This window comes from Homo sapiens, chromosome 9 (assembly GCF_000001405.40).
Source record: "Homo sapiens chromosome 9, GRCh38.p14 Primary Assembly".
Taxonomy (NCBI): domain Eukaryota; kingdom Metazoa; phylum Chordata; class Mammalia; order Primates; family Hominidae; genus Homo; species Homo sapiens.
In genome coordinates this window covers 85720782-85746801 of record NC_000009.12, presented here as the reverse complement: position 1 = coordinate 85746801, position 26020 = coordinate 85720782, and the positions used below count along the sequence as shown (strand labels likewise).

The 26020-nt window shown below is 40.7% G+C and overlaps 1 protein-coding gene across 22 annotated transcripts in view, besides 5 other annotated features; it reads left to right on the top strand.

Annotated features, from left to right (window-relative positions):
* AGTPBP1 (ATP/GTP binding carboxypeptidase 1) overlaps positions 1-26020 on the top strand; it is a 258945-nt gene that overhangs the window by 58682 nt on the left and 174243 nt on the right. For 6 of the 22 annotated variants that reach the window (NM_015239.3, NM_001330701.2, XM_017014545.2 and 3 more), the window contains exon 1: positions 4848-5027. The exons of 9 other annotated variants lie outside the window; for them this stretch is intronic. Coding sequence is in view for 2 of the 13 variants with exons in the window: in NM_001286717.1 (NP_001273646.1) it covers positions 4840-5027 (188 nt within the window). In the remaining 11 variants the exon portion in view is untranslated. Of the gene's footprint in view, positions 1-4772; positions 5530-20719; positions 23074-26020 lie in introns of those variants that run through there. 7 more of the 22 variants (NM_001286717.1, NM_001286715.1, XM_047423096.1 and 4 more) reach the window with 5 other exon arrangements.
* Positions 4525-5124: a silencer, noted in NCBI's record as "silent region_19988". NCBI's record gives its function as "represses an Ori minimal core promoter by ATAC-STARR-seq in GM12878 lymphoblastoid cells {active_cell/tissue: GM12878}" and the evidence as "EXISTENCE:reporter gene assay evidence [ECO:0000049][PMID:35858748]".
* Positions 5195-5514: a silencer, noted in NCBI's record as "silent region_19987". NCBI's record gives its function as "represses an Ori minimal core promoter by ATAC-STARR-seq in GM12878 lymphoblastoid cells {active_cell/tissue: GM12878}" and the evidence as "EXISTENCE:reporter gene assay evidence [ECO:0000049][PMID:35858748]".
* Positions 5685-5834: an enhancer, noted in NCBI's record as "active region_28513". NCBI's record gives its function as "activates an Ori minimal core promoter by ATAC-STARR-seq in GM12878 lymphoblastoid cells {active_cell/tissue: GM12878}" and the evidence as "EXISTENCE:reporter gene assay evidence [ECO:0000049][PMID:35858748]".
* Positions 22629-23304: an enhancer, noted in NCBI's record as "NANOG-H3K27ac-H3K4me1 hESC enhancer chr9:88338413-88339088 (GRCh37/hg19 assembly coordinates)". NCBI's record gives its function as "activates a minimal SCP1, AML or CMV promoter by ChIP-STARR-seq in primed H9 embryonic stem cells {active_cell/tissue: H9 hESC(primed)}" and the evidence as "EXISTENCE:reporter gene assay evidence [ECO:0000049][PMID:30033119]".
* Positions 23305-23981: an enhancer, noted in NCBI's record as "NANOG-H3K27ac-H3K4me1 hESC enhancer chr9:88337736-88338412 (GRCh37/hg19 assembly coordinates)". NCBI's record gives its function as "activates a minimal SCP1, AML or CMV promoter by ChIP-STARR-seq in primed H9 embryonic stem cells {active_cell/tissue: H9 hESC(primed)}" and the evidence as "EXISTENCE:reporter gene assay evidence [ECO:0000049][PMID:30033119]".

Below are 26020 nucleotides of genomic sequence, written 5' to 3'. Positions count from 1 at the left end.
TAACATATTTATCTCTTCACATAGTTAGCATTTTGGTTTTTTTTTTGTGGTAAGAGTACCTGAAATCCACTCTCTTAGCAAATTTCCAGTATACAATAGTCATCATGCTGTACACTAAGTCTCTACTCAATTTTGCTTCTCTCTCTCTCTCCCCCCACTCTTTCTTTTTGTTAGAGGCAGAATCTTGCTCTGTTGCCCAGTCTGGTGTGCAGTGGTGTGATTACGGTTTACTGTAGCCTTGAACTCCTGGGCTCAAGCTATCCTCCTGCCTCAGCCTCCCAAGTAGCTAGGACTACAGGCATGCACCACCACGCTCAGGTAATTTTAATTTTAATTTTTGTAGAGATGTGGGGGGTCTCACTATGTTGTCCAGGCTGGTCTTGAACTCCTGGCTCCAATGATATGCCTATGCTGTCTGGGGTATATACCCTGTGGTTTGTTTTGTGTGCCAAGAAAGAATTTAGGACACAGACACATGTGGGTGGGTTAAGTAGTGGAAAGTTGATAGTTAGAAGAAAGGAGAGAGGCAGCTTTTTGGGAAAGAGAGATGTCCACAGAGGGGGTGAGGCAGTGGATCGCAGCAGATTTTATAGGCAGCAGGTTGGAGAAGGCGGTGTCTGATTTATATGGGGCTCACAGATTGGTTCCATCAGGTATGACGTCTATATACTGTGTGGGGGCAGGGGGAAAAGGAAGGCTGGTCGCCCCACCCTAATCTTATTCTGCAAATGGGCTTTCCTGTTGATCTGCACCATGTTGTCTGCTTCTTACTGTAAACGTGGCTGACAAAGAGAAGGGAAGTGGAGCTGCCATCCTGAACATGTCTAGCCCCGAGTTTCTGCTGGCATTCACCAGTGCAAGCTCCCAGATTGCTTGTCTATGTCTGGAGCTCGAGCTTACAGGCTGCTCTTTGTTAGAAAATGATTTGGGGCTGCTTTTCATTAAAGAGAAAAGCCTTACCAAAGGCTGCCATACTCTCACTGTCTGCCTAAGTGATTTCTTCTTAACTCCTATATCACCAATTGATCCTCCTGCTTTGGCCTCCCAAAATGCTGGGATTACAGGCATGAGCCACCACACCTGGCCTTTAAGTTCAATTTTTCTGACCCCGAATTATATATCATTCACAGTTTACCATGGAAACCATTTGCCACTGTAAAAGATTTTGCATCAGAACCATTCAATGTGTGAAATCCCAGATTGCTTCCCTCCATTTCCCAGTTTTGCCGCATTCATTTAGATTCAGCTCTGGTCGTTTGTACTACATTCTGTTCTGTGGTCTATTTGTGGTAAACCTTTTAGTTTGACACAAGGCAGTGGTTAGGTATTTTGTTGAGCATTATCATTTGCTTAATTCCTCAGAAGATCTCAAGAGGACTGTCTGGTACATAAGAGGTGCTCAATAAATGGTTGATTGTTGAATAGTTATAACAATCAATCCTCTAACTCCAGAGGACCAGCTATGTTTCAGAAACCTCATGATCAATCATGCTCTCCTAACATTTATGTTCTAGATGGAAATTGCTGTAGACTTTTTGAGAGGTCCATGGCTGTTCTAAGCCTTATGACTATAGAGTTTTGTAATACAGTGTGTTGCATTTTGTACGTTACCTTATTAAAAGCATGGAGATAAGGTGATCCGCAGAAGAGGAGAAAGAGATAGCTGGGCTCCAATGTTCACCTCTCTCTCCCCATGACTAGTCCAAAAATGAAACAGGAAAACATTTACTGAGTACCTACAAGGCTGGACTGAATAGAGGAATCCAAGTTAAATGAATTCCATTATATAGTCCAACTCTGATCTATATCAGCCATTCACATTTAGTTTTATATATCATAATAAGGTTTATTGAAGAAGCTGTGGAAAGAGTGACCAATAGAAATTAGCTCTGTGTTTTGTATGGTTCAAAGTAGAGAGATAAAAGTATGATTTCATGAATCACATTGAAAGGCGTCAGCCAGCTTGCTTTAGGCAGATAGTAAGCAAAGGGTCCCCAGAGAAGCTCCCACCCATGTTTCGTACAGATAAGGGAACTTACACAGGGGTCTTGCCTAAACATGCCTACAGTGGACTAAGGGCCCGCGTGCACACTGGGGGAATGGGGTGGAGCCACCAGGAATTTGCGCCTTACACAAATAGGGAACCTGGCCCCATCAGCTTGCATGTAAAAGCCCCTGCATTCAACTGTGAAGCGGGCAACTGGGAACCTGCTTTCAGGATCCTTCTCTTTGCTGAGAGCTTTCCTTTTGCTTAACAAATTCTACTTCACTCACTCTTCAAGTGTCCGTGTACCTGATTTTTCCTGGTCTTGAGACAAGAACCTGGATCTAGCTGAGCTAAGGAGGAAACAATCCTGGATCAACATGGTTTATTGCCATGTGAAGATAATTTATTTTCTTAGGTTCACAATGTATAGAGGCAGAGAATTAAGAGAATAATTTCACAGGGAATACACTCCATAGATGATGTTTATTAACTACATAGTGAGTGAGTTCCAAAACTATTAAAACCTAGTTGTTCAATTAAGATTGAAGCAGACCTCTGTGGAAAGTAAAGTCTGATTAAGGATTGAGGTGGGTGTGGTATTAATGCCTGTAATCTCAGCATTTTGGGAGGCTAAGGCAGGAGGACTGCTGAGCCCAGGAGTTTGAGACCAGCCTGGGTGACTTAGGGAGACCCCGACTCTACAAAAACAATTAAAAAAATTAGCCAGGTGTGGTGACGTGTGCCTGTAGTCCCAGATACTCAGTGGGAGGCTGAGGTAGTACGATTCATTAAGCCTGGGAGGTCAAGGCTGCAGTGAGCCATGATTGCACTACTGTATTACAGCCTTGGCAACAGAGTGAGAGTCTTGTCTCAAAAAAAAAAAAAAAAGAAAGAAAAAGAAAAAGAAAAAGAAAAACAACTGAGGTGTACCTTTACCTTTTGGAGGCTGAGGTTCTCGGGAGAGATGGTGTCCAACATACAGGAGATCGGTGAGGATATGCAAGGTCCCACGATGCTAGAGGGCTGTGCCAGTGTTGGTGGACAGGCTTCAAAGCTTAAAGGCTAACAGGGTGTGGCCCTGTTGCAGCCTGAGCTGGTAGCGTTCAGGGAAGTGGCTGACAGAGCACGCGATCTGCCACCCGCTGAGCTCTCAAAGTATCTTGCAAATTCTTGAGTTTATATGTATTTCGAAATCCTGTAGTTGAGGTCAGTAACATATATATGGTGTTTGATAAGGTGTAACGTCACATTAGCTAGGAGAGGTGAAGTTTATTTCAACTTCATACACGTGGGATCTGATGAAGAGTGATGTCACATTCCCAGGGGGTGGGGGAGTAGCTCTAAGTTCTTAATTACCGCAAAACATAAATCACTCACTCTTGTGGCAAACTATGTGATTGGAATCATTTCAAAGCTATGTAATGCTGCTATTTATCTTGTGTGGGTTAATCTCCTGGGTCTGTGTTGTGGTCATCAAACTATGCTAACAGTGCTTGTGAAAGTGGGATTCAAATTCCACAAACACACACATCCACATAATATCTTCCTATATTGCAGGTTGACTCATTTAGAAACATGTTCTTTAAGAAAAGTTTCAGGTATATTACATACATATTTAGCATTATTGTAAAATTATTACATTATTATTGGGTATTTTCAGATAATACGTTTCTGATTGGGTGGTTTGGGGTGGTGGTTGTTTCAAAATTATTTTAAATACCGTAACCTATCTTTTAGTGCTCACGATGAGGGAAACTACGATGTTTATAAAATGGCAGTTTCTTGTTCATCTGAATAAAGACATCTACCAAGGGCAAACTGTAAGAAGCACTGTGGTGTACCTTGGGTTACTTTTTGAATTGCTTTCACACCTGCTTAATTTTATTTGAACAAGATCATAAAACAAAACAAAAATCTCACAGTTCTCAATGCATTCCCTTATCTAGTTGTGATATTACATTCCTTACCATAAACAGTAGCAAACATGTTCTTGTGCAACGTGAAAAAGTAAATGATGTCAGTATTTATTTGCAATACATTGCAGTACACTGAAGTACAGTCAAAACAGAAGGGGGTGTATTAGTAATTTCTCTGACACATTACTTTGGCTCAGATAAAACATTCCGCCTTTGCCTTCAGTAGCCAACTTAGCATTACCGTTTTGATTATATGCAGGCACTTTTTCAAAAAACAGTAAATCAGCATGCTATTTTGTTCGCTGCAGCACTAGGCATCTAATTTACTGAGATTTGGCCACAAGGTGCAATCCTGTTGTTTTCTGGGAGCCCGATTGTAGTAACAGCATGTCCCTTCCAGCCTCTTATTATGGACCCTCCTTGAGGTCAGGAAAGGTCTAAGCTTTACCGCAGTCCCCAGCGTTTGATGCGACCCCGGGATCACGTGGGGAGCTTTAAGAACCCTTCCTAAGAAAGTGACTGATTGATGGCGGGGGAGGGGGTGGGCGCGGGCTTAGTTCCGGGAAAAGGCTGGGGCCCTCGTTGGGAGTGTACAGAAAGATGACTTGAAGAACGTGGGGAGTCGCTCGCAGTTCGGTACGGAGGGGCGGTGGCCGGGGCTGCTGGGTACAAGGGACCGGCAGCGCGCGGAACACCCGCCCCTAATTCCCGCTCCCGTGCGCGCTCCGCCCCCACGCGCGCGCTCCCTCCCGTCAGGCGCGCAGAGAGGCGGGGCGCAGCGCGCACGGAGGTAACAAGGGACGCGGCGGGAAGAGGGCGTGCGCTCCGCCCCGCCCCTTTCGCGGCCTCGCACGCCCCGCCCCCACTCCCTGCGCGTGCTGGGAGCCGGCTGGCAAGGCGTGCGGTGGGCGGGGCGCCGCGCTGACGTTGCCCGGGATGCGGACAGGTTCCGCCGCCTCCAGCGCCGCCGCCGCAGCTGCCGCCGCCGCCGCCTCCGCCTCGCCTGCCACCGGGGTTTGTATGAAAACACCGGGCGGCGGGCGGCGAGGGATCCGCCGTGATCCAGGTGCTGAGCCGGGTGCTGCGGCTCTGCGCGGTCCCCGCCAGCGCCCCATCCTGAGCCGGTGAGCGCCCTGCTGCAGTCCTCATGTCCCGGCCGGCCGTCCCTCTGCTCTCCCCGGGCCGCGGGAGATGCGAGCGACGGCGCCCGGGGGTAGGAGGGGCGACCCCGGATCCCTGCGCCCCTTACCTGACGGGTTGTGTAACGCATGTTACACATGTGACGCGTGAGGGGAACGCACTCGGTCTTGAGGGAAAGCCCTGACGGGGTGGGGCTTTGACTGGGTCTGGAAAACGCCTTCCCCAGTCCCCGGACCCTCGGTGGATCCCCGTCCCAGACCTTGCGGAGGGTATCGGGCGCGGTCTCTGGGCGGAGGCCGCCCTTTCTGCTCAGCCCTTTCTCTCGGGCCCGAGCTCGCGGCGCCGCGGGGAGTCCAGCCGAGGGGCTGCAGGGCCGGGGGCGGGCGCGCCCAGCCCCGCTCTCCCCCGCCCCAGTGGTAGCGGGCCGCTGAATCGCGGGCCCCTGTGCTTCGAGAATTCTAGCGTTCCCGACTGAGCGCCAGCAAGGTGGGATTTGCTGTGACATCGGCGATGGGCACGTTTGCTTCCTCTCGCTGGGTGGTTTGAGCTGAAGTGTGTCTTCTGTTTACAACTTGTCGCCTTGAGCGTTTGGTTTGAACCTGAATCAGATCACCCTGGATGACAGTGCAGAGTTTCCTTAGTGTCTTCCTTCCTGAATTGCGGGTTCTCAATTGCAAGTGTTCAAGGACTGTTGTAACCCAAAGGCTTGCTCGACTCTACCGTTGTTTTACCCCTTGTGCGGTATAAACCTCTTACGAGCACCAGGGCAATTGGAGTTGGTTGGGTTCCTTTCTTGGGCGTTTACTCATTGTAGAATGGAGTTTTCATGCATCATAGTGTAATCGATGTGAATGTTGATAATTTAAAGCCCATTTCCCGTTTTAACATAGCTTACTCAAGTGCCTGAAGATAGCGGAAATTTTCTTTGGCAGTATTAATTCTATGTGGGTTTTTTCCTTCAGGTGTTTAACATTGTAGTTGTGTTTAATTACAATGCATGACAATTTGTAGTTAGAAAGGACCTTAACAGTCTTCTTAATCGGTCATTTTCACTTACCTTTTATGTCCGTTTTTTAAGCTTTATGTAAATCAAATTATCCTTTGTGAACTTCTGAATTATTCTTATAAACTGGTTGTCTGAGAAAACCGGAAAGTTATTTTTGTAATTGTATTGTGGAATGTTTTTAGTTCAGTAGGCCAAAAAAGAAATGATTTATTTAAGGAACTTTAAATGGTGCTTATTTTAAAACATGTGCCAAATGTCAAAACCAAACAAAACTCTGAAAGATCTGTATTTCCTATGTAGAATTACTGCGAAATAATAAGTCGTGCCTTACCCACTGTTTCTCATCATGCAGGCAGAGTTCTAATATGACTTGCTCTTTTTCCCATTCCACTTCTCTTAAGTTAAATTCTATGGTGAAGTTACAGGTTCATTTTTAATGATCACAAAACTCTGCCTTGAATTGATTAATCACATAATTACAACTGCAGACTCACTCTGAACTCGGAAATGAAGTGGATAGGCTTAAAACTACCCTCGTATTTGGCCAACATTGCAAAGCATTTAAATCTATTAATTAAACTTTTGTAGAAGCAATTTTTATAAAGCTTTTCCGAATTGAGGCATTCTTCTCTTTAGAAAAGTCTGGCTAGGCTGCTATATAATAATGGTTTTACTTCCATTAGCAGAAGGAAAAGAGGTCCAACAGTTATGAAATTTTGTAATTTGTATTTTACTTTTTTTTTTTTTTTGAGACGGAGTCTCACTCTCTCGCCCAGGCTAGAGTGCCAGTGGTGCGATCTCGGCTCACTGCAACCTGCCCCTACCGGGTTCAAGCGATTCTCCCGCCTCAGCTTCTTGATTATAGGCGCGCGTCACCACGCCTAGCTAATTTTTGTGTTTTTAGTAGAGACGGGTTTCACCATGTTGGCCAGGCTGGTATCGAACTCCCAACCTCAGGTGATCCACTAGCCTCAGCTTCTTAAGGTGCAGGGATTACAGGCGTGAGCCACCAAGCTTGGCCTGAATTTTTTTTTTTTTTTTTTTGAGACGGAGTTTCGCTCTTGTCGCCCAGGCTGGAGTGCAGTGGCACGATCTTGGCTCACTACAGCCTCTGCCTCCCGGGTTCAAGCGATTCTCCTGCCTCAGCCTCCCGAATAGCTGGGATTACAGGAGCACACCACCACGCCCGGCTAAGTTTTTGTTTTTAGTAGAGACGGGGTTTCACCATGTTACCCAAGCTCGTCTTGAACTCCTGACCTCAGGTGGTCTGCCCACCTCGGCCTCCCAAAGTCCTGGGATTACAGGCGTCCGCCACCACGCCCGTCCTGGCCTGAATTTTTTTAAACCTCATCCAAAGTATTCATCTTCCCAAATCTGCTTTTCTTGCTTGAAGTCCCCCACTATCTGAAAGTTGAACAGTGCGTGAATAGCAATGGATGCACCTGTCAGAGGGCCATCTGCAAGATGGGAGCTTTCCTTAGGCAATGGGTTTCAGTATAAACAACATAAATTTTGTAGGGTGGGCACTGAATTTTAAACTTCAGATGTTATTGTTGATTACTGTGCCTGTGTACTATGGTGTAGTGGCTAAGGAGTTGGGCCTCAGAGCCAGATGGCTCGGTTTGGGTCCTGGCTTTGCTTTAGGCAAGTTATTTTTATTTTTATTTTTTTAAGACAAGTTATTTGTCCTTTTTGTACTTTAATTTTCTCAGCTCCAAAAATGACATAATATTAGTGTATACTCTTAAGATATTCTCAAATATTAAGTGATTAATACAAGTAAAGTGCTTAGCCCACAGTGCCTGGCATGTAGTAAGTGCCCAGTAAATATTGCTATTATTACCGTTGCTCTTCCTCAGTCTTCAAAGGGATCTAGTAAGCAGAAAAAGGACTTTTGGGGGATGGAGCAGTATTAGTGCAGATTAATTCCACTATGACCCATTTGCTCCTTTGGGGTTAAATGAGAGCTTAGTCTCACTGTCCTGCCTCCTGCCTTGGAAACATGTAAGTCAGTTTTAAATAGAACAGCTAGACCCTGAGCTGGGTGCCCTGGGATGCTACTGGAGAGCTGTTGATAAATCCGTTTGTCCCTTCTGACAGAACCTTGGATTGTCTCCCTCCTGTTGGTGATGGCTGCTATTTTAATCTTTTAATCATCTGTTTTTGAGTTTGTGATTGGGTGTTTCTTTGACTATAATGTGCCGCTATCAAAAATGTGATCTGTCAAAATATTGGTAGGTATGTACTTGTTTATTTGATCAGAATATTGTATGTTGTTTCCAGGGCACACAAAATCAATTTTTTTAAGCATTCTTTTTTATCTAAGCATTTTCTTTTTTATTGATATTATATAGTGTGAAATCAGTTTTGATTTGACATTGTGTTCATTTTCAGCTTTCATATAATTTTCCTAGGAACTTTTTTTTTCCCTCCAGTATGATTTTACATACTTGTTCTTGGTTTGCAGGGATCTAATATTAAAACTCTAAATGCTTTCAAACTTTTGGTTAGGACCCTTTTACATTGTTAAAAGTTGTTGAGGATCCCCAAAAAGCTTTTGTGAATTTATCTATGTTTACTGTATTGTAAATGAAAAGGGAAATATAAATTGTCAGTTCACTTAAAATGACAATTATAAACTCTTTACATGTTAATATAAACACCCTATTTTTAATGAAAACAACTTTTTTTTAAAACAAAAAATAAGGTAGTGAGAAAAGTGGCATTGTTTTACTTTTTTTGTAAATCTGTCTGGTTTAATGGAAACAGCTGGATTATCATATCTGCTCCTGCATCCAGTCTATTGCAATATGTTGTTTGGGTTGAAATACATATGGAGAAAATCCAGTCTCACATAGTTAATGGCTAAACAGGGTGGGGAGGCCGGGGAGGGAGCATTTTAATAGCCTTTTCCGATAATTGTGGACATTCTTGTTTGGTATTATATTAAAACTCAGTAAGTGGCAATTTCTTAAAGGTTAGATGCCGTGAGAAATCCAGTAAGTGGATTTTTGCATGCTCTAGTAAAACCCATTGGTTGGAACTTTGAATGGGTCTTATACTCATTCCTGAGATTGTAACATCATTCCTTGGTCATTTGTAAATATTGGTTCAGTGTTATGCAGATCTTCCAAATGTTGACATCTTTCATCATGCAATATTAAAGAAAGTTATGGTTGTTAATATCACCACCCATTTTGTTAGAGACAAATTATTGGGAAGCTGTTTAGGTCTTGACATGACAATGGTGGATATGAGTTTTCCAGAATTCGGATTTTTGCTTGAAAGCTCAAATTTTATCATTGGCAACAAATGTGACTTGTTTACTTAAAGTGACAAGCTCAGTTTATTCATTTCTGAGAAAACCTCTGCCAAAATATTCCAATTTGAGTAACCATAGTCTGTCAATCATTCTTTCAGTCACTTTCATTAAAAAAGAGGCTAGTTCAAGCTGTCAATTCAGTTACAGAAGCACTTTACTTTGAGACAGCCATCAACTATTGTAATTCAGTATGTAGCAGAAATGGTTCATGGAAAGTTCCCATTTTGTCACATAAAAAGGTGCATAAAAATTAATAATTTTTACTGTTTCAAGGACATTCTTAAGTGACATTGGCTTTTTCTTGTCTTTTTATTTTTTATTTTTTGAGATGGAGTCTTGCTCTGTCGCCCAGGCTGGAGTGCAGTGGTGCAATCTCTGCTCACTGCAAGCTCCGCTTACTGGCTTAACGCCATTCTCCTGCCTCAGCCTCCCGAGTAGCTGGGACTACAGGCGCCTACCACCACGCCTGGCTAATTTTTTGTAGTTTTAGTAGAAATGGGGTTTCACCGCGTTAGCCAGGATGGTCTTGATTTCCTGACCTTGTGATCCGCCTGTGTCCGCCTCCCAAAGTACTGGGATTAGAGGCGTGAGCCATGGCTGGCTTTTTCTTGTTTTATAATTGTTGGTGGTTGATGGTGACTTTAACTCAGTCCAAGATGCCAGTAATTTTAAGATTTTAAATTTTAGTATTATACAAATAGTTTTGAACTTGTGGGTCCCCTAAAAGAGTGTCAGGACCACAGGGGCCCACGCACCGTGCTTTTAGAACTTCTGGATTTAAATCTTAAAGAGGCTTTCTCACAAACGTTTGATTAAGAAGTGAAGTGGTAGTGACAGTCTCTTGTTTGCTTTTGTTTTACGCTTTGGGTAAAGGTAAAGGTCTTATTAAAAAAAAGTATTATAGCTAGATAGTAGGAATAAGCTCTACAGTGTTCTCTAGCACTATAGGATGACTGTAATTGATAATATATACTTTCGAATAGCCAGGAGGATATCAAATGCACAGAAATGATAAATGTTTGAGATGATGGATTTGCTAATTACCCTGATCTGATTGCTATACATTACATGTATCAAAAGATCACTGTGCCTCATAAATACATATGATTATTATGTGCCAGTTAAAAAATTTAAAGAAAAATATTTTAACATACAAAATTAAGTACAATAAAGGTTATTCACAGAAAGTTTCTTAATGGTTTTAGTCAGGTGCTGATACAATGGGATTATAGTATTAGTAATCTGAATACCATCTAAAAACAAAAATCAGACCCGGTAGTACATTTCTATATAAATGTTCAAATTTAACATTTTGGGAATGTAAATATTAAACAGTGAAGGCACAACGTGAAAAGCTCCACTAATATCTAACTCATAAGTTTAAAAAAAAGTGACCTGGTTTCCCTTCTTAATCTCTGCTCATTTCTCACTTAATTCATGCTGAGAATGAACTGCCCTATGGAGAAATTCCAGGCACTTGCTGTCTTTGCCTCACATTTTTCCTTAAGGGGAAAATGATTTAAAATTATGAAGATTATAAGGATATTGGTTATATAGGGATTAAAAACAATAATAAAGTCAGCCAGAGGGATTTATGGTCGGATAATGTTAATAAAAATCTGAACACTGCCTACATGTAATAGAGTTTAATGAATTAAAAAATATTATTTTAACAAGAACTCTTTAGGTTTATTAATTTATGGTCAACACACTTTCTAGACTCCTTTTTGGTGCATGGTGAAAACTAATCTCTCACCTTTTAATTTAATCTTATTGATTTTAACTTTTATTTATATTTGAAACAACTTTTTTCCCAATTTTTAACACAAGGTTCATATTTTGATCTTTAAAAAAATATTTATTTTAAAAATTGGTGGTAAAACATATATAACATAAAATTTACCATTTAAATCACTTTTAAGTGTGTAGTTTAGTGGCATCAAGTATATTCACATTGTTGTGCGGCAGCCACCACCATACATCTATGGAACTTCTTTTATCTTCTCAAATTGAAACTCTGTATATATTAAACAATTACTCTCCCCCTCCCCCATAATCCATTCCCTGGCAGGCACTGTTCTATTTTCTGTTGCTATGAATTTGACAACTCTGAGTAGGTCACATGAGTGGAATCAATCATACAGCGTTTATCTTTTTGTGACTGGCTTATTTCATTTAGCACAATGTCTTCAAGGTTCGTTCATGTTGTACCGTGTGTCAGGACTTTCTTTTTAAGGCTGGATAATCTGTTATATGTATATACCAGATTTTGTTTATGCATTCATCCGTTGATGAATGGACACTTGGGTTGCTTGTGAATAATGCTGCTTTGAATCTAGGTATGTAAACATCTCTTCAAGACCTTGCTTTTTATTTATTTATTTTTAAAATTTTTTTAGATGGAGTCTCGCTGTGTTGCCCAGGCTGGAGGGCAGTGGCGCGATCTCAGCTCACTGCAACCTTTGCCTCTGGGTTCAAGTGATTCTCCTGCCTCAGCCTCCTAAGTAGCTGGGACTACAAGTGTGTGTCACCATGCCTGGCTAATTTTTTTTTGTATTTTTAGTAGAGACGGGGTTCTACCGTATTAACCAGGATGGTCCCTGTCTCCTGACTTCATGATCCACTTGCCTCGGCCTCCCATGGAAGACCTTGCTTTCAGTTCTTTTGAGTATATACCCGGAAGTGGAATTGCCAGATTGTATGGTAATTCTATTTTTAATTTTTCAAGGAACCTTCATACTGTTTTTCATAGTGGCTGCACCATTTTATATTCCTATCAATAGTGCACAAAGATTCTAATCTATGCACATCAACACTTACTATTTTGTGTTTTTGTTTTGTTTTTGGTAGCAGCCATCCTAATAGCTACGAAGTGATATCTTGTAGTTTTGATTTGCCTTCATGTTGCTGTATTTGGTTTCCTAGTATTTTGTTGAAGAGTTTTGCATTAATGGTCATAAAGAATACTGGTCTGTCATTTTCTTGTAACATCTGTCTGACTTTGGTATCAGGGCTGTACTGGCCTTATAGAATGAGGTAGGAAGCGTTCCTTCTTCACTTTTCTGGAAGAGTTGAAAAGAACTGGACTTTTTTTTTTTTAAGTATTTTGTAGAATTTACCAGTGAAGCCATCAGATTCAGGGCTTTGCTTTGTAAGGAGGTTTTTTTGTTTGTTTGTTTCAGACGGAGTCTCTCTTTGTCGCCAGGCTGGAGTGCAGTGGTGCCATCTTGGCTCACTGCAACCTCTGCCTCCTGGGTTCAAGCGATCCTTCTGCCTCAGCGTCCTGAGTAGCTGGGACTACAGACACGCGCCACCACGCCCAGCTAATTTTTTGTATTTTTAGTAGAGACAGGGTTTCACCATGTTGGCCAGGCTGGTCTCGATCTCTTGACCTTGTGATCCGCCCACCTTGGCCTCCCAAAGTGCTGGGATTACAGGCGTGAGCCACCGTGCCCAGCCTGTAAGGAGGTTTTTAATTACTGATTACATCTCCTCAATAGTTATGGGTCTATTTAGATTTTCTATTCCTTTGTGGTTCAGGCTTGGTAGGTTTTGTGTTTCTAGGAATTTATCTCATCTAGGTTATCCAATTTGTTGGTGTACTGTTGTTCACAGTACTCTGTTATAATCCTTTTTGGTTTTGTGGAATTGGTCATGAATGTCTCCCCTTTCATTTCTGATTTTAGTAATTTGAGTCCTCTCTCTTTTAAATCTTGCTAAAGGTTTGTCAGTTTTGTTAATCTTTTCAAAGCACCAACTTTTGGTTTTGTTGATTTCTTTATTGTTTTTCTAGTCTCTATTTTAATTATTTCTCCTCTGGTCTTTTTTATTTTCTTCCTTCTGCTCACTTTGGGTTTAGTTCTTCTTTTTGTAGTTCCTTAGTTGTAAAGATAGGTTGTTTTGAGATCTGTCTTCCTTTTTAATGTGTTTATGTCTATAGATTTTCTCCTCAGCACTGCTTTTGCTATATCCTGTAAGTTTTGGTATGTCATGTCTTTGCTTTCATTTGTGTCTATTTTCTGGTTAACCCAGTGATTTCTTCTTTGATTCATTGGTTAAGAGTACGTTGTTTAATTTCCATAAATTTGTGTATTTTCCAGTTTTCTTTCTCAGATTGATTTCTAACTTAATCCTGTTGTGAGGTTGGAGAGCACACTTTGTATGATAAATATCTTTTAAAAGCAATTGAGACTTAATTTGTATCCTAATATGTGGCCTGTTTTGGAGAATGTTCTGTGTGCACTTGAGAGGAATTTATATTCTGTTGTTGAGTACCTTGTTCTAAATATATGTTAGATCTAGTTGATTCATTGTGTTGTTCAAATCATCTCTCTCTTCACTTCTTTCTGGTTGTTCTTTTCCTCATTGAGAATGGTGTATTAAGTATCCACCTTTTATTATAGAAGTATTTCTCCCCATAATTATGTTAATTTTTACCTCGTATTTTGATGATCTGTAACTACTTCATATATTTTGTTGGTGTGTAAATGTTTATAATTGTTTTATCTTCTTGCTCTGTTGAACTTTTTATTAATATATAATATACTTTTTCTCTTGTAAACTTATTTGATTCAGAGTCTGTTTTGTCTGATACTAGTATAGCCCTTCCTGCTCTCTTTTGGTTACTATTTGCATGGAATATCTTCTTCCATTCTTTCACGTTCCATGTATTTGTGCAATGGGATCTAAAGTAAGTCTCCTGCAGACAACATACAGTTGGATCATTTAAAAAAATCTATTCTGCCAGTCTTTGTGTTTTGATTGGCAAATTTAATCCCTTTACATTTAAAGTAATTACTTCCTAAAGTAAATTACTTATTTCTGTTCTTTGTTTTTTATATGCCATATTAGCTGTTTTTATTCCTCATATTTTATATATTTTGATTTATATTGGGATATTAGCTGGAGCTGACTTTGGGTTATAGTGGTTTTCTTCATAAAGTGGTTTCTTCAAAAAAACCCAAACCACTATTTGAGTTATAGTGGTTTCTTCATAGTCCCGTCCTGGCTAACATGGTAAAACCCCGTCTCTACTAAAAATACAAAAAATTAGCCGAGCCTGGTGGTGGGCGCCTGTAGTCCCAGCTACTTGGGAAACTGAGGCAGGAGAATGGCCGGAACCCAGGAGGTGGAGCTAGCAGTGAGCTGAAATCACGCCGCTGCACTCCAGCCTGGGCGACAGAGCAAGACTCTGTCTCAAAAAAAAAAAAAAAAAAAAAAGGGTCATAGTCATAGGTTAGAGGCAGAGAAAAATGTGTGTTTCAAGGTAAGATTTTAAATCTCATTTATCATCTGTATAGACTTAGAAATTTTGGCTTTGTTTAAGTCTGAAAATAGTTGAAATCTGAGTTGGAGGAAGAGTTATTTTAAACAAATCATTTAATAGTTGAAGGGTAATGAGATTCTGCTCTTCAAACCTACCTCATTTATTGATAGTAAAATGGAAATGTCACAAAGCAAAACTAATTAGACTTTTTATAAGTATCTGAACATTTTTTGTGGAGTAGTGTGTGAACCTTACAGATTTGTTTGGTTTTGATAAGAATGCATGATCAGGAAAGATACATAAGCTTTTTGTAGATTTACTCTTACCCATACTTTTTGATAAAATTAATGACAATAAAATAGGTGAAATCAATTTTCCTGTTTGAAGATTGGACTAAAATATAACATAATCATTGGGCTGGGCTTGGTGGCTCATGCCTGTAATCTCAGTACTTTGGGAGGCCAAGGTGGAAGAATTGCTTGAGCCCATGAATTTGAGACCAGCCTGGGCAATATGACAAGACCCGGTCTCTACAAAGAATGGAAAAAACAATTAGGTGGCTGGTGGTGTGCACCTGTGGTCCCAGCTGAGGCAGAAGGATTACTTGAGCCCAGGAGTTTGAGGCTGCCGTGAGCCTTGTTTGTGCCACTGTACTGTAGCCTGGGTGACAGAGCAAGACCGTGTCTCAAAAACAAACAAACAAACACACACAAAAAAACCAAAACACTTCCCTCCCCGAAAAAAAAAACCCTGCCAAACTACTTCCAAAGTAATTGCACCATTGTACATTCCTGTCAGCAATGTGTGAGGGTTCCAGTTTCCCACATCCTTGCTAACACTTGTTATTATCTGTCTTTTTAAAGTTTAGCCATTCTATTGGTTGTGAAGTGGTATCTCATAGTAGGCTAAGTTTCAAAATAGCAGTTAGGCATAACAGGAGTGATAGTACTTTAAGATGAAGTTAATGTTCCAATTAAAATATTGAATAGGCTGACCTAGGAATGGTTCTTGACCCTGGCTATGCATGATTAGTATCACTTCCTAATTTAAAAAAGTTGATGTCACAACTTCATTTCATTTCTGAGGATATTGTACGATTCCTCTCCTACTCCATGGCCCAAATCCTTCATTTAAAAATAAAACAGTAAAGACACACTTGTAGAGAAAGAACTACTTTCCCTTAAGCAAAGAGAAGGTTTACCATAGGCTGCTAAATAGTTTAAAGAATTGTTGGAATGTATCAGTATGGGTTCAATCAGGAGATAGAAACCACATAGTAATTTAACAGGGAAAGAATAATATAAGGAATTATTGACTGTAACAGGGGATTGGAGTAATAAGAGATTTACCAGTGAGAAGTAAAGATAATGCTAAAGAATATAGGAATAGCAGATATAAGGAGCAGTGACTATCCCAGGACTAAGATAGAGTGCGTTTCCATCTTCCAGATGAACTTAGATCTTATTGGAAAGGGCACGTTCAAGGCTATGTCAAAGGGCAAGTTCAAGCTATGGTACAGCACTAGTGGCATTTGCTGGAAATTTACCCCTTAGGGTACCAGGGAATGCTGTTTATGAAGAGGTATCTCATCAGAGACCTCTACTACAAAACTACCTAGGCTCTTATTGGAAAAGCAGCACACACTGAGGAGCCTGGTGGTAGAAGAACCATCCTTGTTGAAGGAGTGGGTCCCTGGAAAAGCCTTGCCTACTGGAGCCAAGTGAATGCCCTGGAACTAGGAAGCCCAATTCTTTTCCCTTGCAATGCTTTTCCAGAGCCGTCTACTGACACAGCTTAATGTCATGTCAGCTGGCAGATAAAAAAGATATTTAAAGGACACAAATTCATTTTCACAGAGCAGACAAAAAGGGCGAATTGGGAGATGAGGGGCAATAAATCAATATCTGGCACAGGCATTAAGTGGCTTACTTAGGAGGAATTAAGTTGAGAGATCTGAAGAAAGAGACATAGGTTGAGCTTTAAGGAACAACTCTCACATCTTACCACAGAACTGGGAAACCAAGAGAGTTACCTCTTTTATGATTAGGAAACCTCTGGTCTAATTGTGAAATTGCTTCTAGAGCTTCATTTCTGGAACCACACTGCTGTTTCAGAATCTGGAAACAGTTGAGGTCAGGAGGCTCTGGTAATCAGGAACCTCAGACTATCCTTACTAGCTGTAGAACCATGTTGGGCCTGTTCTGGTGTGCACCAGCTGCCTGCTAGTGACTGCCCCAACTTTTCTAAATCTTTATACCCTGGAGGAGCTGTGAAATAACTTTTAGGTCTCTTGTCTTTTTGATAATAGCCATCCTAACAGGTGTGAGGTGATGATATTTCACTGTGGTCTTGAATTCCATTTCTCTGATAAGTGATGTGGAGCAACTTTTTATATACCTGTTGGCTATTTTAATATATTCTTTGGAAGAGTATTCAGGTCTTTTGCTGATTTTTTAATTGGGTCATTCTTTTTTTTTTTGCTATTGAGTTGTGTTTCTTATGTATTTAAGATATTAACCCCTTGTATCTTGAGATAAGCTATATATCTAGATGTATGGCTGGCACATACTTTCTCCGAACCTATAGGCTGTCTTTCATTTGTTATTTCCTTTGGTGTGCAGAACTTTTTAGTTTGACGTAGTAGTCCCATTTGTTTTTGTTTTTGTTGCCCATACTTTAGATCCTATGCAAAAAATTGCCAAGACCAGTGCTGAGCAACTTGTTCACTGTGTTTTCTTCTAAGAGTTTTATGGTTTAGGTCTTACATTTAGGTCTTTAATTCAGTTAGTGTAATGTTTTCAAGGTTCATTTATGTTGTAGCGTATATTGAACTTCATTGCTTTTTATGGCTGAATAGTATTCCATTGTATGTTTCTACCATGTATTGTTCATTCATCTATTGGTGGGCACTTGGGTGGTTTTCATCTTCTGACTGTTGTGAGTAATGCTGCTTCATTCTTTGGCATGTGGATATCAAGTTGTTCCAGCACCATTTGTTGAAGAGACTATTTTTTCCAACTGAATGGACTTGACATGCATGTCAAAAATCGATTGGCCATAGATATATGAGTTTATTTCTGGACTTTCATTCCATTGGTCTGTATGTCTGTCTTTATGCTACTACTAGCTGATTTTAATTAATGTTATTTATTTAGGTTGGTGTGAAAGTAATCACAGTTTTTGCCATTACTTTTAATTAAAAGTACAATTAACATTAAAAGTGATGGCAATAACTGTGATTACTTTTGCACCTAATATACCATGAAAATTATTGACAATATCAAATAGCAAAGCTATTAAAAACCATAAGCCAAGGTAATACTAATAAAAATATAGTCCAAGTCATAATTTATGTAAGATTTTGAAATAAGCCAACTTTTTTTTTTTTTCTGATTGGCAAGGTGAGGCTGAAATATAAGTCCACAAGTTAACAAAATATTTGTATGTGTTTTGATTTTTTTCATCTTTTGTAGGCTTTAACATATACAATAAAATTGCCTTTTAAAACTAAAAGAAGTTCATCTTGTTCACATGAAACCTGTTTTTGTTTTGTTTAATTTGAAATAAGCATTCACAGTTTTCATTTTTATCTGACATGAGACAGTTCCTCCTTGCTGTAGGTGCTTGTTAAGTAAGAAAAAACTTAAGAAGTTGAAAACTTGCAGCTAAATGTTCATTACTTTCCTATGATTGGCAGGACATTACTGGTTCAGGGAAATCCATAACTTTTTTAGGGGTAGATCAGTAAATCTCATCTCGAGTGTATAATCAAGAGCATAAATCTCATCTTAAGTGTATAATCAGTGAGGAGGAAGAGCAAAATTCCTCCTCCTCAAAGTTAAGTTCTCAGCCTGAGCACAAGATTCAGAGAAAGGGTTCCTTCCTCAGTCTTACATTTATTTGAAAAGAAAAGGGAAATACTATTTACTTTTCCTTTTCAATATTTTTCTCCTATATCAGCAAGACTTGAGATTTGCAGATAAACATTCTTACTCACAAGCCCAAGAAACAATGGAAACGTTTTAAGATTGCCTTTTTTTAATCACAGGATTTTTTTTCCCAAGAATCTTGTCACTTGAAGTAAATATGTGTGTGTGTGTGTGTGTGTGTGTGTGTGTGTGTGTGTGTGTGTGTATATAAATATATATTTTGAGACACGGTCTTGCTTGAGTATAGTGATGCAGTCATAGCTCACTGCAACCTTGAACTCCTGGACTCAGGGATTCCTCTTGCTTCAGCCTCCCAAGCAGCTGGGATTACAGCCATATGCCACCATGCCCAGCTAATTTTTTTAATTTTTTTATTTTTTTGTAGAGATGGAGGTATCACTATGTTACCCAGGCTGGTCCAGAACTCCTGGCCTCAAGTGATCCTCTTGCCTTGGTCTCCTCAAAGCACTTGGGATTACAAGTGTGAATCAACACAACTGGCCTTAAAAATATTTTCTCTAAGGCCTGGCAGAGAGTTGTTCAGTTACTTCATGTGATAACAAATGTTTGTAGATTGGGCCATTCTTCATTCTCAAAATACTTGGCAAAATCTGGTCTGCTGTGTTTGTGAAAGTACTCCTGGAATTCGTCTTTCAGCTTAGATACCTGTTGAGAATTCTTCTGCTAAGCCACTGTATTTCTGTATGTAGTAGATTTATGTCCTCTTCATCCACGTTTTTACACAGTTCTTTAAACACTGTTGAATGAGCAGGTTTTTATATAACAGTTAATACTTTTTTGGAGCTTCAATTAGAACTTTAAAAATTTCCTTTCCTAGGGCTTTTGACACCAGCATCTCTCTGTGAAGAAAACACTGTGTTGTGAAGTGGGGTTTGCTTTTATTTTTTTGAGACGATGTCCCCCTCTGTTGCCCAGGCTGGAGTGCAGTGGTGCAGTCTCGGCTCACTTCAGCCTCCATCTCCTGGGTTCAAGTGATTCTTCTGCCTCAGCCTCCCGAGTAGCTGGGATTACAGGTGCGTGCCACCATGCCCGGCTGATTTTTGTATTTTTGGTAGAGACGGGGTTTCACCATATTGGCCAGGCTGGTTTCGAACTCCTGACCTCAGGTGACCTGACCACCTCATCCTGGAGTGCTAGGATTACAGGCGTGAGCCACCACACCCGGCCGAATTTTGGAGCACTTTGGATTTCAGATGTTCAGATTTGGGGTGCTCAACATGTACTGTAGAACTTTTTTCAGTTTCTCTTTCTGTATCTCATATAAACATTTTACTGATCTTTTACTCAGTGTAATTTTACACTTTTTTATTATACTTATAGTAGATTCTCACCACCAATTGTGTGACTTTCCCTTTTCTGGGCCATAAATTCTACTACTATGTAACTTGCTGCCTCAGTCTTTTCACTGATTTTTTTTTAAAACAAAATCTTTATTCTGTTTGTTTTGAGATTCCAGTATATTTGACACTTAACTTGTCAAATGAATGTAATTTGTATTTAAGTGTCTTTTGAATTTTGCTGGAACCATTGCTGTATTTGTAAAGTTGTTTTCCACAGACAACACAAAATGGTATAGGAAAACTTAGTACAGCCCATGTATACATCCATTGATACTTATTTGCATTGTAAAGAGGGACTTGTTTTATGTCTCTTGATGCACTAGTGCAATGAAATGACTCACTAGATACAGTTCTTTACCAACCTTACTGGAATTTTCCTTTGGCCCTATTCTCACACTTCATCCTCAGAAATTACCACATCGGATTATCGGGCATTTGTAAAACACAGATGTTAATGTATAAGACTTAAGACCATAGCAAAAAACTAATTGAGAAAAATCACAAAACTAAATTTTCATGATATAACTCCATTGTAATTTTGTCCATGTTTTGCAAAGCTTGCGCCAAATAGCAAAACATTGGGGGTAACTGAGTTGCAACATGTAAACATTTTTCTTTTTTTTTGTTTTTTGTTTTTTTTTTTTTGAGACAGAGTCTTGTTCTGTTACTCAGGCTGGAGTGCAGTGGTGTGAACATGACTCACTGTAGCCTCAATCTTCCAGGCTCAAGCGATCCTTCTACCTCACCCTCCCATGTAGCTGGGACCATAGGTGCATGCCACCACACTGGCTATTTTTTTTTTTTTTTTTTTTTTTTTTGAGATGGAGTCTTGCTGTGTCTCTCAGGCTGGAGTGCAAGTAGCATGATCTTGGCTCACTGCAAACTGCAACCTCTGCCTCCTGGGTTCAGGCAATTCTCCTGCCTCAGCCTCCTGAGTAGCTGGGATTACAGGCGTGTGCCACCACGCCTGGCTATTTTTTTTTGTATTTTTAGTAGAGACGGGATTTCGCCATGTTGGCCAGGCTGGTCTCGAACTCCTGACTTCAGGTGATTCGCCCGCCTTGGCCTCCCAAAGTGCTAGGAATACAAGTGTGAGCCACTGCGCCTGACCTAATTTTTAAATTTTTTGCAGAAATGGGGTCTCCCTATATTGTGCAGGCTAGTCTCGAACTCTTGGGCTCAAGCAGTTCTCCCACCTTGGCCTCCCAAAGTGCTGGAATTACAGGTGTAAGCCACTGTGGCTGGCCTTTTCATCAGAATTAAAATTTCTCTCCAATTTTCCATTACACTTGTAGAGCTTTTTTGCTTATATCAGGTAGTTGGCGGTGCCTATGGAGAGGTTTGTGGAGGTAATTTGAGAGGGAGAGGCTGATGTTCATTAGCCCCCTACCATCCTCCCCCTATGCGTAGCAACCACCAGTTATCAAGGACAACTGTATCTCAATAAACATGGTTTTACTGTGCACTACCACATGGCTAATTTCTAACACAATTGTTAATGAGGTTGTTCATTTACTGTCAATACTGCCATTGCTTGATGCACAAAAGTTAAAAAAATTTTTTTTTTAATTTTTTTGTTAAATTTCTGATCTCTCAAAGAACTCAAGCAGTATCTTCAATATCTTGTGGACTCCAGGTTGAGAATCCCTGCCTTACACTCTGGGACCTCTTCATACATTGTTGTAGAAAAACTGAACATGTCTGTGTCTATGCTTTCCTCTATAATCAGGCAGCTTTTGCTCATCTTCGAAATCTCTCACAAGTGACGAATTTGGTAGACTTAAGTTACAACTGGAAGTGTAGCTGCAGGGTGCAGGGGAGTCTGGGAAATGCTTTTTGGTTTTTAAACTTCCAAGTTCCTGTGGTATAGGAAGGCACGGTAGAGGGAAATTGGGATAGATACTGTGTGCCATTATACCGTATCTGCCATATTACTGGATTTTTAAAAATGAAGACTTTCTTGCTTGTTTGTGTAGTAAAATTTTTTTTCAAAAGAAAACTTAAAAGCATTCATTAATTAAAAAATTTATTTAGCACCTGCAATGTGCTGGCATTCTTCTAGATACTTGGGAGGCATTTAGTAAGCAAAACAAAGATCCATGCCCTCATGGAGCTTTAATTCCAGTGGAAAGAGATAGATAATAGGCATAACACATTGTTAAATTAGTTGTCTGTGTTATTGTGTGAATAAAAAGAATCAAGTAGTGGCCAGTGAAGTCTTAGATATTATACCATGTGAGTATTTATGCGGATATGGTTTTCCCCACAACCTTGAGGAAATAATCTATTTTGGTTGCTTTTGTAGTAAACAATGGTGATAAATGGCTAAGGGTCTAGGATAAAGTAGATTGTGGCATTAATGTATGTGTTATGATGTGGCATATATTGAGCATTTGTAAGTTTATAGAAATAAACTGATTGTTCTCTCAAAAACTGGTTTTGACACAGGTTTGTATATAACTGGTTATTCAGTAATGATAATTTTCAAAGTTGTCTTAGTCTATTTGCACTACTACAGCAAAATACCATAGAGTAGGTAGCTTATAAAGAACAGATGTTTATTTCTTTCTTTTTTTTTTTTTTTTTTTGAGACAAAGTCTCACTCTGTTGCACAGGCTGGAGTGCAATGGTGTGATCTTGGCTCACTGTAACCCCTGCCTCCCAGGTTCAAGTGATTCTTCTGCCTCAGCCTCCTGAGTAGCTTGGATTACAAGTACTCACCACCACACCCGGCTAATTTTTGTATTTATAGTAGAGTTCGGGTTTCTCCATCTTGGCCAGGCTGGTTTTGAACTCCTGACCTCAAGTGATCCACCTTCCTCGGCCTCCCAAAGTGCTAGGATTATAGGCATGAGCCACCGTACCCGGCCAGATGTTTATTTCTAACAGTTCTGGTGGCTGGAAAGTTTAAGATCAAGATGCTGGCAGATTCATATCTGGTGAGGATCTGTTTCATGGTTCATAGATGGTGCCTTTTCATTGTGTGCTCACATGGTGGGAGGGAAGAGCTTTTTCTCTAGGGTTTCTTTTAGAAGGACAGTCAACCCAGAGGAGGCTTCCAAGATGACCAAATAGGAACAGCTCCGGTCTGCAGCTCCCAGCGAGATTGATGGAGAAGACGGGTGATTTCTGCATTTCCAACTAAGGTACCTGGTTCATCTCAATGGGACTGGTTGGACGGTGGGTGCAGCCCACGGAGGGCAAGCTGAAGCAGCGCCTCACCTGGGAAGCGCAAGGGGTCAGGGGATTTCCCTTTCTTAGCCAAGGGAATCCATGACAGTCTGTACTTGGAGGAACGGTACATTCCTGCCCAAATACTGCGCTTTTCCCATAGTCTTCGCAACCCACAGACCAGGAAATTCCCTCCTGTGCCTGGCTCAGCAGGTCTCACGCCCATGGAGGCTTGCTCACAGCTAGTGCAGCAGTCTGAGATCAACCTGCAATGCTGCAGCTTGGTGGGGGAGGGGCGTCCGCCATTGCTGAGGCTTGAATGGGTGGTTTTGTGCTCACAGTGTAAACAAAGAGGCCAGGAAGCTCGAACTGGGTGGAGCCCACCATAGCTCAGCAAGGCCTACTGCCTTTCTAGATTCCACTTCTGGGCAGTGCCTACCAGAAGAAAAGGCAGCAGACAGCTTCAGCAGACCTAATTTTCCCTGTCTGACAGCTCTGAAGAGAGCAGTGGCTCTCCCAGCATGGCGTTTGAGCTCTGAGAACGGACAGACTGCCTCCTCAAGTGGGTCCCTGACCCCCATGTAGCCTGACTGGGAGACACCTCCTTGTAGGGGCTGACAGACACCTCCTACAGGTGAGTGCCCCTCTGGGATGAAGCTTCCAGAGGAAGGATCAAGCAGCAGCATTTGCTGTTCTGCAGCCTCTGCTGGTGATACCTAGGCAAACAGGGTCTGGAGTGGACCTCCAGCAAACTCCAACAGACCTGCAGCTGAGGGGCCCGACTGTTAGAAGGAAAACTAACAGAAAGGAATAGCATCAACATCAAAAAAAAAGCACATCCACCTCAAAACCCCACCTGTAGGTCACCAACATCAAAGGCCAAAGGTGGATAAAACCACAAAGATGGGGAGAAACCAGAGCAGAAAAGCTGAAAAGTTCAAAAAACCAGAGCACCTCTTCTCCTCCAAAGGATTGCAGTTCCTCACTGCAAAGGAACAAAACTGGATGGAGAATGAGTTTGATGAGTTGACAGAAGTAGGCTTCAGAAAGGTTGGTAATAACAAACTTCTCTGAGCTAAAGGAGCATGTTCTAACCCATCGCAAGGTAGCTAAAAACCTTGAAAAAGGGTTAGATGAATGGCTAACTATAATAAACAGTATAAAGAAGACCTTAAATTACCTCATGGAGCTGAAAACCACAGCACGAGAACCTCGTGACGCATGCACAAGCTTCAATAGCTGATTCGATCAAGTCGAAGAAAGGATATTAGTGATTGAAGATCAAATTAATGAAATAAAGCAAGAAGACAAGATTAGAGAAAAAAGAGTGAAAAGAAACGAAGAAAGCCTCCAAGAAATATGTGACTATGTGAAAAGACCAAATCTACGTTTGATTGGTGTTCCTGAAAGTGATGGGGAGAATGGATGCAAGTTAGAAAACAATCTTCAGGATATTATCCAGGAGAACTTCCCCTACCTAGCAAGGCAGACCAACATTCAAATTCAGGAAATACAGAGAACAACACATACATACTCCTTGAGAAGAGCAACCCCAAGACACATAATTGTCAGATTCACCAAGGCTGAAATGAAGGAAAAAATATTAAGGGCAGCCAGAGAGAAAGGTCGGGTTACCCTCAAAGGGAAGCCCATCAGACTAACAGTGGATCTCTCAGCAGAAACCCTACAAGCCAGAAGAGAGTGGGGGCTAATATTCAACATTCTTAAAGAAAAGAGTTTTCAACCCAGAATTTCATATCTAGCCAACTAAGCTTTATAAGTGAAGGAGAAATAAAATCCTTTACAGACAAGCAAATGCTGAGAGATTTTGTCACCACCAGGCCTGCCTTACAAGAGCTCCTGAAGGAAGCACTAAACATGGAAAGGAACAACTGGTACCAGCCACTGCAAAAACATGCCAAATTGTAAAGACCATCAATGCTATGAAGAAACTGCATCAATTAACAGGCAAAATAACCAGCTAACATCATAATGACAGGATTAAATTCACACATAACAATATTAACCTTAAATGTAAATGGGCTAAATGCCCCAATTAAAAGACATAGACTGGCAAATTGGATAAAGAGTCAAGACCCATTTGTGTGCTGTATTCAGGAGACCCATCTCACATGCAAAGACACAAATAGACTAAAAATAAAGGGATGGAGGAAGATCTACCAAGCAAATGGAAAGAAAAAAAAAAAAAAAAAGCAGGGGTTGCAATCCTAGTCTCTGATAAAACAGACTTTAAACCAACAAAGATCAAAAGAGACCAAGAAGGCCATTACATGATGGCAAAGGGATCAATTCAACAAGAAGAGCTAACTATCCTAAATATATATGCACCCAATACAGGAGTACCCAGATTCATAAAGCAAGTCCTTAGAGACCAACAAAGAGACTTAGACTCCCACACAATAATAATGGGAGACTTTAACACCCCACTGTAAATATTAGATCAATGAGACAGAAGGTTAACAAGGATATCCAGGACTTGAACTCAGCTCTGGACCAAGTGGACCTAATAGACATCTACAGAACTCTCTATCCCAAATCAACGGAATATACATTCTTTTCAGCACCTCATTGCACTTATTTTAAAATTGACCACATAATTGGAAGTAAAACACTCCTCAGCAAATGCAGAAGAGCAGAAATCACAACAAACTATCTCTCAGACCACAGTGCAATCAAACTAGAACTCAGGATTAAGAAACTCACTCAAAACTGCACAACTACATGGAAACTGAACAACCTGCTCCTGAATGACTACTGGGTACATAACGGAATGAAGGCAGAGAGATAAAGACGTTCTTTGAAACCAATGAGAACAAAGACACAACGTACCAGAATCTCTGGGACACATTTAAAGCAGTGTGTAGAGAAAAATTTACAACACTAAATGCCCACAAGAGAAAG